The sequence below is a fragment of the Homo sapiens genome, chromosome 20 (genome assembly GCF_000001405.40).
Source record: "Homo sapiens chromosome 20, GRCh38.p14 Primary Assembly".
Lineage (NCBI taxonomy): Eukaryota > Metazoa > Chordata > Mammalia > Primates > Hominidae > Homo > Homo sapiens.
This window is the reverse complement of record NC_000020.11, coordinates 12,227,131-12,240,294: the sequence shown is the minus strand read 5'-3', so window position 1 is coordinate 12,240,294 and position 13,164 is coordinate 12,227,131. Positions and strand designations below refer to the sequence as shown.

Here is a 13,164-nt window from a genome sequence, read left to right as displayed (position 1 = left end):
GCAATTTCTTGTGATAACAGCTACAGGTTAGCATAGTAGAGAGATGTGGATGATTCGGGGAGGAGACCTGAGTTATCTCAGTGGAGCCTATGGCAAACCAGCCAGCTCCAGTCATTCTGCCAGCACATTTCAGACTCAGATGCAAGCCCAGCCCTGATCAGCCAAGCCTGGCCCAGGCCAGCCAGTCTCTCAGTCAACCTGCAGATTTGCGAGAAAAACAGAACAAAACAAAATACTTCATGCTTTAAGACATTATGTTGGAGGTAATTGTGCAGAATTATTGTGGTGATAGCTGGGAGAAAGGGAAGATTATAGAAGGTGGACATATGAACATTTTTTGGCCAAACAGAAATTAATAATGCATCTTGTCAAATGAATATAAATAAATCTTGCCATTGCAGAAATAATATGCCATTTGACCATTCTATGCTTTATGCCAAAAATCTGACATTCCTTAAAATTTGCTCGGAGGCTAGAAATATTGGGAGAGCTGTCTTGCCCCTACTCTGAGCTCTGTGAGCATCCAGGTATGGGGTTTCTCCTGGGCCTTGGTGGTAGTATAGGACCAGTTTCTTCCCTCCTGCAGAAATCAAGGTAACCTTTCCTGAATTTCCAACAGCCCTGCAACAGTCTAATCCCACACGAGCTCCAAGAAAACAAGTCTGTATGCTTAGTATTGTATTAATTATTTTCCTCTGAAGCTATAATCAATTTGCCTTCCTTCCTCTTGCCTTTGAAAGTGTATTTGTGAAGCTTTTGGGCTGAAATAATGTTGATGATACCCTAGCCAAAGAATTTTCTTATTTGCAGAAGGACCTGTCTTTCCCGAAAGGAAATATATGAGCACTGCTAATCTATTAAAAAGAAAAGAAAGGCAAAAAAGAGGTTTCCCTGTTTGAAGCAGTTTGGAGAGAGTACAGTGAAGAAAGATCCTCTTCCAACACCCTGCTTTTTCCCTCTGCCACATCCCCTGGCTTTCCCATGAGGGGCCCTCTAGCATCATAGACTCATGCAGAATCAGCGCTCCTCAAACCTTAACAAGTATAGGAATCACTGAGTCTTGTTAAAAACTCGGGTTCAGATTCAATAGCTCTAAAGTGGGGCCTGAAATCTGGATTTCTCACTAGCTCTCAAGTGATATGATGCCGCTGGTGCAGGAGTACACTTGGAGTGGCAAGGACTTAGGATATTACAGAACAACTTGAAAAAGATGGACTTGTCTGAGTTCTTCCATTGGCAAAGAGGGAACGTGACTCCAGGGAGGTCACATTTAATGTCAGAGCTGGGAATCCTCATACACAGATCAATGCTCTCTCTTCGCCATCTTTCTACATTACCCAAATCCCCGCAAGTTCATACTAGACAATAAAAGAACTGGTTAATAAAGAATACTGACCTGACCTTCATGCATGCTTTTCCTTTCTGCTGTTAAAAGAAATTTTCACTTGCCAAAAGACTGGTTTTAAAATCAACTAGTTCCAGGAACTTTCACAGAGCAAAAACACATAAAAGACTTCTATTTTACTTGTTTAACTTTTATTTTAAGTTCATGGGTACATGTGCAGGTTTGTTACATAGGTAAATGTGTGTCATGGGGGTTTGTTGTACAGATTATTTCATCACACAGGTATTAAACCTAGTACCCAATAGTCATTTTTTCTGATCTTCTCTCTCCTCCCACCTTCCGCCCTCTGATAGGTTCCAGTTTGTGTTGTTCCCCTCTATGTGTCCATGTGGTCTTATCATTTAGCTGACCAGCAATCCCATTACTTTGGTTGTATACCCAAAGGGGTACGAATTGTTCTATTATAAAGACACGTGCATGTCTATGTTCATTGCAGCACTGTTCACAAGAGCAAAGACATGGAGTCAACCTAAATGTCCATCAGTGATAGACTGGATAAAGAAAATGTGGTACATATACAACATACTTTGCAGCCATAAAAAAAGAATGATATCATGTACTTTGCAGGGACATGAGTGGAGCTGGAGGCGATTAGTCTTAGCAAACTAATGTAGGAACAGAAAGCCAAATACCACATGTTCTCAGTTATAAGACTTCTAGTTTAAAATAGCATCTTGTTACAACTTCTTACATACCACTAAAACATATGTAAATGAACAGACGATAAAACAACTAAAATAAAACAAGCTGATCACATCACCCAAAAACAAGGAGTGCTGAGTAATCTAGTTTCAGAATTTGGAAGGAATGTCCTCTCTCTATGAAGTCCTTGTTCATGAGACAAAGCAGCTCTATTGGCTGGGAAACATGAAGACAAAAATGCCTTCCACCAATTTGACACTGACTCAGAATTTGGTATCTAAACTTCCCCTCCCTACGAGGAAAGCTGGCAGCCCTTCCGTGCCTGGGTGTTCTTTAGTAAGAGAGGCACATCAGGCAATTTGCATAGCAGAAGACATCGCCTAGTCCAGCAATGTCATACTAGATGAACACGCTTCGATAGCATGATGCACTGGAAACTACACACATTGGCACTAACTCAGTTCAGCTTTGACATGAGAGAGGATTTCCACTGTCACCAAAGTTGGCAGATGAGCTCTGGCTTATCCACAGGGCCTGTGCCCTGATTAGGGTCCAGAGAAAAACTCCTCTCAACCTAAGAAGAAAACAGCAATACAGGATCCCCTTAAAAAACAAAAAATAATAATAAAATTTAAAAAACTGTACAGATTAAGGGAAAGATGATTTCATGAAATCTTGGCAATGAGTACATGGAAGGAGGCAGCATTTTTGGCTTCCTGGGCCATGCTGCATGCTTTGCTGAGCATCCAGCCTCTCCCCCACCTCTCCGTAACTGGCTCCCTCTGCTCTTTATTCAGGTTTTAGTTCAAATGGTAGCTGCTCAAGGAGTCCCTTCCTCACCCCCCAGATTAAAGTGGGCCTCCTGTTACATCCTCTCAGGGCACCCTATGATTTTTTCAGTATACAATTGTTTGGGTGATTATTTTGTATAATGTCTGTGCCTAATAAAGGTGTCCCTGAGCACAAAATAGATGTTCAGCAAACACCGTTGATTGAAAGTCTGAGTCCTATTAATACAGAAGACACGTCTTCATCTATATAAAATAGAAACAGAAAGGTATAAGAAAAAATAACGAAGATGATTATATAACCTCAGGGTAAGGTACAAAACAGTGAGCTGAGATGAAGGTGACTGAGGAGATAGGGAAGGGTTTTAAGGACACTGACGTTGTAAAATCCAATTAAAGTCCTCACTAGAGCTAAGATAAAACAGATGCAGCATTGCTGAAAATCTAGTTCATGATGGGGCAGAGACTGTGAAGGTCAGAATTGAGATATTTTTCTCAGAACTGAAAGGAAAAAGATAAAGAGACAAAAACAATATGGTATAAAATTAAATACAAAGAGTTAGGGGATAAAAATTTAGCTTAAGACTTATAGGCATACCTGATGAGACAAAACAAGGAAAATCAGAACCAAAGACAATAATGATCTAAGTTTTGAAAAAGAGAAAAGAGTTCAAGAAAGTACTCAAGTATGCTGGTTAAAAAAGCTCACACATTCCAACAGACAACCAAACAAAAACAATAAGAAAAAACATTACAACTTGACAACTACTGGATGCATTTTTGAATTAGCAAAACACAGAAAACAAAATCCAACAGTGACATGGTAAGAAAACACAAATTACTTCAAAAAAAAAAAAAAAGGAAAGAAATGTCAGGAGATAATGAAGCAGAGTCAAGAAAAAAACAAAAAAGGATTGTAATCCAGTAATTTCCTACACAGTCAAATCGGCATTCTTTGGACAGAAGAAAAATAAGGTCTTAAGTATGCAAGTCTTAAGAAATTATATCAATCCTGTACCCTTTCTGAATAATATTAATAGTACATTACCAAAAGTTTACATTCTTTCCGAGTGAAGGATGATTCAAATTAAAATGTCATGTTTTATTGTTAAAATATACACTCACAATGTAAATTTAGCAGTCATAAAATGGCATGCATAAAATCACAGCTTGCCAAATGCATAAATTAAAAACTTTAAAGATGAAATGGACAAAATTGCAACCAATGAAGAAGCCTTCATTAGTTTTCAGCCTTTGATAGATGAGGAACACAAAGATAAATAAATGCATAGTTTAAATAATATAAAATAAAAGCTGGAATTTGTAGGGAAATATATAATCTGTAAACAAAAAATATATCTTTTTCCTAATTTTTCTTAACATCTTTACAAAAATTGATCATGCATTACCATCCACAAAAGATTACAATTTCTTATTAACAAAAATTACATTTGCTGCATGTTCTAGCATTTATGTTTTAAAACTAAAAATTGCTAGAAAAACTTTAAACAAAATAGAAATATAACAGACTTTTGGAAAACATAAATTTTGTCATAAAATAAAAAGCCAGATACAGTGCCATGCCTGTAGTCTCAGCTACTTGTGAGGATAAAGTAGGAGGATAGCTTGATTCCAGACCAGCCTGGGCAATATAGTGAGACCTTTGTCGCTCTCTCAAAAAACTAAAAGGAAATTCTATTGTTTGTAACAACATAGATGAACCTGAAACCTGAAAGACATTTTGCTAAGTAAAATAAGCCAGGGACAAAAAGGCAAGCATAGCATGTCCTCACTTACATGAGTAATCTAAAGAAGTTGAACTCACAGAAACAAAGACTAAAAAGATGGTTACCAGGGTCTAGGGATGGGGAAAATAGACAGACATTGGTCAGTTGCATGATACGTAAGTCCTGGAGACATAATATAAAGCACAGTGACTATAGTTAATATATAATATACTTGATATTTGCTAAGAGAGTAGATCTTAAGCATTCTCAGCACATATTCATACCAAAAGGTAATTATGTGAGGTGATGGCTATGTTAATTTAGTTTGATTGGTACAATAATTTCAAAATATATATGTATATCAAAACATCACATTGTATGCCTTGAATATATAGAATTACAATTCAGTGAAGCTGAAAAACATGCCTAAAAGTAGAGACAGTGTCTTGATTGATCCTGCAGAGCAGGGTATGTCTCAAACAGACTCAAGCCTGTTTGCCAATAAATGTCTACAGGTGAGACAGAGCAATGTCTGAAACTTGGCTTCACTGTAATGTTTTAGCAGGTCTGTGGAGAGCAGATATATCACCTTCTCCATTACAGTAAGCTGCTAAAGGTTCCCCAGAAGAATAAACTGGCTGAGCATGACCTAATCAATTTAAATCACTTCCCAATAGGACACAAAAATGCCTAAAATATAGCAAATTAATGTCCCATTTTAACCTACTATAGAGACTTGTAGGTGAATAATTTTTCACCTCACTGATTTAAGGTAAAATATTAGAAAAAGTTATTAGTATACTGCTAGCTATTAAGGCTTAAAATGCAGCTATTGTGACTAAGAAACTCATTTTCTCACTTTTATTTAAATTAAAGTTAAATTTAAGTTGTCACAGGTAGCTAGTGGCTACCATATTGAACAACATAGGTACAGAACATTTTCATTATTACAGAAACTTCTTTGGGGGTGACATCAGAATCAAGAAGTTAATACCATGACTCTCCTGATACATTGCTTCTCTTGATTGCATTCGTAGTCCCAACTAATAGGATCCCTGAATTCTCCCTGTTCTATAACTGTGTATTCTCTTCCCAGTTTGAATCTGGGCTTAGTTGTGTGACTTGCTTTGGCCAATGAAACAAGAAGAAATGGGATGCATGCAGAGACTTTCTTGCCCTGGCAGTAACCATGAAGACATGCCCATGCTATCTGATGGAGACAGCTGAGACATATAGGGAAGAAAGTAGCGTCATCCCATTTGAGGTCATCCTGACCAGCTGGGCTCTAGCTGACCCAGCAGTTGACTGCAGATGCATGAATGATCCCAGCCAAGATCACCAGAACCACCACACTGACCTTGAGATTCACAAGAGACAATGAATGGTTATTATTTTAAACCACTAGGCTTGATATACTTGTCCTGAAATATCAGCCACAATCGAATTCAACTATTGACCCAGCTGTTAAACATAATTGGATAAGAGGAAATAGAGTCTAGGAAGATGGTGCAAGTGAAGGATGACAGACTCCAGTTCTCGTTTAGCCTTACTGGCCCACCCCAAGGTAATTTCTTCCCCTTCTTCCCACTCAAAAGGAATGCCCACAAAGGACTTTCTGGTCTCTTTCCGCTCTGTTACTTATTTCTTCCACAGAAGGAGTTGACAATCAGATGTATCAAAGTATGAAACATTTGATCAGATATTGTGGGCATGAGAATTTATAAAAGGCAGTGTGTAAAGTCTCACCCATTCTCTTTTACTTCCTGATCACCAGGAAGCTCATTCTACTTGACACCGTGCTGTGAGCATATCTGCAGGGGCCCTAGGCCTGCTTTCCAGAGAGAAGGACCATCCTTGTCCACGTGACCTACTGGAGAGGAGGTATCAGAATCACTTCATTGCAGAAAGAAGTAAAAATGCCAAATTATATCATTTAGATTCTGAGTAAGAGATGGGTGACAACACCCATTGGCCCCAGAACTAAAAGCAGCTCAGATATTACTTAAATATGGGATTAAATTATCCAAAACTTAAGTTCCAGAAATTAACAACCTTGTGATTTGCTTCTCTTTTGGCTACAGATTCTGTGTGCATTTTTTGCATGGTCCGACTCTATGGGAAAAAGAGAAATAAGAGGGAGACAACCCCTCATTGCTCATTAAAAAATCATCTGATTAAGTTCATTTAAACCCAATTGTGGCTAATTTTCTTTGTTCTGTATACTCCTGAAATAAATGTCCAAAAGGGAAAATTTCAGACATTATGATTAAAATCAGTTTAGGAAATCATAAAGAGAGGTGTTGGGGAAAGAAGATATTAATAAATTATTATATCTGTTCTTGAAGAGCAAAACCTTAGAATATCTATCTACAGTTCAAGTTGGTAAAGCTATTAATATAAAAACAATGGTATTATGACAATGATAGGAGCGAAGGAACAGAGTTAAAGCCAGTATCTTAAATGAAAAACTTGAGATAGGGTTTGTGCCTTTAAATGAACCCAGGTTGCCTAAAATCAAAAGACAAGGTGAGAAGAATCAATTGAAATCCCATATAAAATGTTGGCACTCCAAAGACTGCAATATATTAGACATTACTGGAGTAAATGAAATAATTAGAGTTTTTTCTTTTTATTTTTCACTCAAATGTGAGAATGTAAATTTGGAGCAAATATATGGAAAGGTAACATTCTGCCTTAGAGCTTAAAAGTGTCCTCCCATTGGCAAATCAAACCCAAAGGTGGTGAGCACAGAGAACTTGGTGAATGCAGAAAAGGAGCTTGTATCAACAGAGATTTCAACACCATGCAAAACAATTGTTTCTTCAAATTTTCTTCAAATAAATGACAAATGGGGCCGGTCAAAGCAAAATCGTGAATCAAAGCCTATCACCATTCTTGTACCAATCTCCCAAAGCTTGCTTTCTAGTCATCTTCATTCTATCTCAATTCACTGAAACCATTGTTCTTGTTTACCCCAAAGAGTCTGTGTTTTGGAAACTTGCTACTCAGCATATGCTTAAAGAAAATTGATTGTGTTTCCCCTCAGAGAATATTAGTGTTCTCCCACACCTTGAGTGTTTCTGATATATAGCCCCCAAGACCTAATTCAGTAGAGTCCACCACTCTCCACAACAGTATTTCAACTGTGTACCTGCACCCTGTTACTTACTTCTCCCACAGGAGGAGGAGCTGATAATCAGATGTATCAAACTATGAAACATTGGATCAGATATTGTGGGCATGAGAATCTATAAAAGACAGTGTGTAAAGTCTTACCCATTCTTTTTAACTTCCTGATCACCAGGAAGCTCATTCTACTACAATAGGTGATAGTCACCCATTGCTCTGTAGCAGATCATCTAAAAAATGAGTGGCTTAAAACTACAATCATTGTTCTTTTATCTCTCATGGTTTCTGTGGGTCAAGAATTCAGGATCAACTCGGTGAGGTGGTTCTGGCTCAGGGTCCCTCATGAAGTTGCAGTGTTAGAGTCATCTTGATGCCTTCATCACTTACATGTCTGGTGCCAGGGCTTCAGAAATGTAAACAACTAGGGGCTGGAACATCTGAGGCACCTCAGGCTTTAATTTCTATCTCTATGTGGTCTGTCCAGGTGATTTCTCCAGCATGGTGGCCTTAGTGTAACCAGACTTCTTTCATTTCAGCTCAGGGTCCAAGGTGCATGTCCCAAGAAAGAAAAAAACAGGAAGAAGTAATGTCACCGCTAATTTAACTTTCAGAAGTCACAAAGAGTTGCTTCTACCCTACTTTATTGATTGAGGCAGTTTTAAGAGTCTTCAGTTTAAAGGGAAGGGAAATGAGACCCAATATCGCAATAAGGGATAGTACCACCACAGTATAAAAGAGCATTCATTGGTGCAGCTGTTTTTGAAAGATGCAGTCTGTCCCAACTTCTCTTCTGATGGCCCACAAATTTTTTTATTTGTCCTATCTGATTATCATTATAATAAACAAAAATAAAGTCAAACAAAACAGTTTGTCAAAGCTAGAAGATAATGTTAATGTAAGATATAGCAAAATCAAGATCCAGAATTATCTCTTGGCAGACTTGGGCTGTTGAGTTTAACAAGATGAAGTTTATAAAGGGCCATGTGTGGGAATTTAAAAATAATTCTATGAATACATAATAGGGAACTCCTGGCTTGGCAGAAGTTCACATGAAAAAGAGCTGGGAATTGTAGTTGATCATAAGCGTGGTATATATCAAGAGTAGGATGTGATTGCTTAAATATAAGAGAAGCTGATCCACATTTAGTTTGTATTTATGGAATAAAATGTTCGTATCTTAAGAAGTAAAAGTCCAACATCCCCTGCATTCACTTAACCATTGATTCACACGATAAGTGTTTATTGAGTTCCTACCGTGTGCTAGGCAGCGTCCTAGGTGCTAGGAATATAGTAGTAAACAAAACACACACCAAATCCTGCCTTCATAAAACCCAAAACTAGTAGAAAGGACAAATAAGGAATGAAAAAAAAATTCTATAGGAAAAAGTGGTAAGAAGAAAAGGAAAGCAAAAATAGGAATATATGTTGGGAATAGAAGGGTTACAATTTTAGATAAGTTGAGTAAGGAAGTCCTCATTGAGAGAGGCTATTTGAGAAAAGATATGAAGGATGGACGTGAGCAAGCCATGCTGATCTCAGAATGAAAGTTCTAGGGAGAAGGAACATCTGAGGCAAAGGCCTTGAGTCGGCAATGCCTGGAAGTGAGGAGCCCAGTGTGACTGGAGCAAAAACAGGACTGGGAACAGAAGATGATGCAGTCAGAGAGGCTATCAAAGATGGATTGTCTGGGGCCTTGTGAGTCACGATTGGAGCATTGGATCTCATTCTGAGTAAAGAAGGGAGACATCAGCTTCAGCAGAGGAATGACGTGATCTGACTGGAAATTTAACCAAATCAGCAAGAGTAGCCACTGTATGAAAGGGGTCCAGGGAGACTGGTTGGAAGACATTGTCAATCACCCAGGTAAGAGATGATGATGGCTTGAACCAAAATGCTAACAGTGAAGATGTGATGTCCTCAAATCCTGGATATACTTTGAATGGACACCAACAGAATTTCCTTATTCATCAGATATGGTTGATCTGATGGAAGAGGTTTATCTGATGGAAGTTTTTCAGGGCAGTCAAGAGTAATACCAAGAGTTTTAGCCTGAGCATTTGCTAGAGATGAAGAAGATTGCAAATGAGAATGTTTTCAGTCAAATAATAATAACTCAGTTTTTAACAGATTTATTTTAAATACCTATTAGATAATCTCTATGGTACTCAGAAAGCCAAATGGAGAAGACATTTCAAGTAAGAGAGAAGCTGGTCATCTACTGCTGAAAGAGTAAGTAAAACAAGAAATCAGAATAAATTTACAATGAGATCTGTAAATATGGAAATCATTCATGGCCTTGGTTGAAGCAGTTTTAGTGGTGTCATGGGGACAAAATTGATCAGAGTGGGCTCAAGAGAGAATGAAAGAGGCAAATAGAAGCCTGCACTAGCAACTCTTTCAAGGAGATAAGCTATACAGGGAAGGTAAGAAATAAGGTAATGGCTAGATAGTGTTAGGAATGGAAAAGTGCTTACATGTTGTTGGGAAAATTCCAGTTTAAAAAAAAAAATGATGAGAGTGACAGAATTTCTAGACTGATATCTTTAGAAAGTGAGGAAGGGATGAAATCTAGTGGACAAATGGAGGGACTGCCCTTAGCTAGGAGTATGGGCAATGCTGAGATCCTAATAGGAGAGAAACCAAATATAGGGCATGGATGGAACTAAGCAGGGACAAGTGGCAGTGGGAAACTGCAGGAATACTCTTATGCATGTTTCCATATTCTTTATGAAATAGAAAGCAGAGCCATCATCTGAGATTGAGGATGAGGAGGGAGGTGTGGAGGAGTAGAGCAGAGATTAAAAGGTATGAAATAGTTTCCTAGGAGATTTGAGAATAAATAAATAGATCGGGGAAAATTTAAGTACCATATAGCGGTAAGAGCCACTTGAGGTTGATGATAGGAAGTGAATGTGAGACAAACAATCATGGTTGTATGTTTTTTTTTCAGCCACTTTCAGCTCTAGGTGACCAAGTATAGGGCAGACAGAAAGTTGGATTTAGCAAAGACTATGGCTTAGTTTCACAAGTACTTGTGTTTGTTGGCAAAAATGTGATTATAATGGCTGGCCACAGAATTTAAGATGGATAAGGATTCTGTATGGTTTTGAGGGACTAAGAAGAGGTGATAGCATCAGTTATTTGGAGTTCTCAGTGGGATTTAAGAACTACGCAGGTGATGTATCAGAGGGAGTGAGAAGGAAGGTGTGGAAGTGGCAGTGCTAGTGTGAGATGTTTGACACTGAGAGAATGGAGGGGGTACAGTTATTGGCAATGGCAGTGTCTCAGGTATGAAGACCCAGTGTGTGTGAAGTAGGGTGCAGGGCAAGAGTATGCCAAGAGAAGTAAGAAACTGAGCCACCAAGACATTAGAAATAGAGTCTGACAGATATCTAGGAGCTAAAACGTCCAAGTAACAGAGTCCACAAGCCATTGAGTTGACAGATAATTGCAACAAGGGGGGAGTAGCAGGTGGAATATGGCAATGGCCTGGGATTCTAAGTTGTAGGGGGCAGTGTTTAGAGAGGAATTTGGGAGATGATTCAGAGATCGCACTAAGGAGTGAGTAGGACACCTACCCCATCTTCAGAGTAGCCGGCACTGACAGTGTGAGAAGAAAAACAACCACCAGTTGATCTACAAAGGAAGCTAAGTGCTAAGCTTTCCACTAGAACAAGAAATGAAGGGAATGTTGTCAGCCACTTTAAGATTGCCCCTCAACTTAGACTCTCAGGCCATTGCCGTATTCCACTGGCTACTCCTTCCTTGTTGCAATTTTCTGTCAACTCAATGGCTTATGGAACTCTGCTACTCGGATGTTTTAGCTCCTAGGTAACTGCCAGATTGTAGACTTTATCCCTACAAGGGATAAAGAACATAGTGAAATTTGTCCTTATAGACCCAAAGCCAAGAATGGCCTATAAATTGTGAAAATTAGAAGGAGGAGGAGGTGAGAAGTCTTGCAAAGAATATGCACTTTCATATTTAGAGTTCTGTGTTCCACTCCTGGATGCTGGTTTAGGGGAATATAAATGACTGTTTAGATGAGAAGGCCCAGGATAAGGAGTACAAAAGAATTCCATTTTAGGAAAGTCAATAGAAGAAACTGGGAAGGTTTGGTTGGATCTCCGGCAGACAACTGTCCTCAAGTGGCAGGGGTGTTATAATGTAAGACAGTTAGCTTGCGACTAATTGCTCCAGAAAATAGAACCAGATCCTGTTGGCTGGAAGTCATGGGAAAAGAGGTTTCCTAAAAAAGGGCTGAATTCCCCCCAATAATGAAGCGAAGGACAGCTGCTGAAAGTGTTACCAGTCTCATCTCAGACTGGTAACAAATAGTTTGCTAATCAGCACTGGTCTGGCCACTGGTCTGACTGCTAATCAGGCCAGTGTTGATTAGCAAACTATTTGTTACCAGCTTGAGATGAGAAGAGTATAAAACCTGAGTACAAACATTTAAAAATGTTTATGAGCAATCGTTCTATGTTACACTTACTTATTTTTTGAAATGGTATTTTAAGTCTATTTACACAAATAAAAAAATGAAAGGTTGTATTTTATACGCCTTTGGATTTTATTTTTCTAGCTTTTGGCTTTTATTGTATTTTGTAAACATATTGGTCTCATTCATTAAAAAATATATATATTTTTAAAAAGCAGATTTGTCACCATAGGTAGCCAGAGGGTTTGAACTGATCTAGGGTATCACAGGAGGCGTTTAACTGCCCATTTAAGAAAGTCTTCAAGGAGAGGCAAGGCTTGTCATTCACAATGGTAGAGCAAAATGAAATGTGGACTAGGAGACCTGACTCTACTCTCAGTGAGCTAAAGGTAAGTATCTGAATTTCACTGAACTTTAATCCCTCATCTGTAAAAGAGAAATGATATTACTTTTACTTGCCCTATAAGATTAAGATTCAAATGACATGATCAATGGAAAGGATCTCTGAACACATATCATAGGCCCTATGTAAACTAACTCTGCTTCCTCAATGCCACATGTGGACAATTACAGACTGATCATATAGTAATCACTTCGGAGTGCATATTAAAAAAAAATTAAAGTACTCATCCCTGGGTCCTACTCTCAGAGGCCAAATCTGTCAAGGAAGCAGCCTAAAATTGTGTATTTTTTCTTCTTCTTCTTCTTCTTTTTTTTTTTTTTTTTTTTGAGATGGAATCTGGCTCTGTCACCCAGGCTGGAGTGCAGTGACATGATCTTGGCTCACTGCAACCTCCACCTCCCAGGAGCAAGTGATTCTCCTGCCTCAGCCTCCTGAGTAGGTGGGATTATAGGCACCTTCCACGACACCCAGCTAATTTTTAGTAGAGATGGGGTTTTTGCCATGTGGGTCAGGCTGTTCTGGAACTTCTGACCTCAAGTGATCTGCCTGCCTCCATCTCCCAAAGTGCTGGAATTACAGGCGCAAGCTACCACGCCCAGACAAAATCTGTATTCTTAACAAGCTCTCCA

General features: G+C 38.7%; 1 long non-coding RNA gene across 1 annotated transcript; it reads right to left on the bottom strand.

The window, feature by feature from the left end:
• Window positions 1–1,517: 1,517 nt before the first annotated feature.
• On the bottom strand, window positions 1,518–12,821 carry LOC124904869 (uncharacterized). Its single transcript, XR_007067529.1, has 2 exons — window positions 8,079–12,821; window positions 1,518–6,432 (listed from the first exon to the last, which is right to left on the bottom strand). It is a non-coding gene; the product is annotated as an uncharacterized LOC124904869 (long non-coding RNA).
• Between the last annotated feature and the right edge of the window lie 343 nt (window positions 12,822–13,164).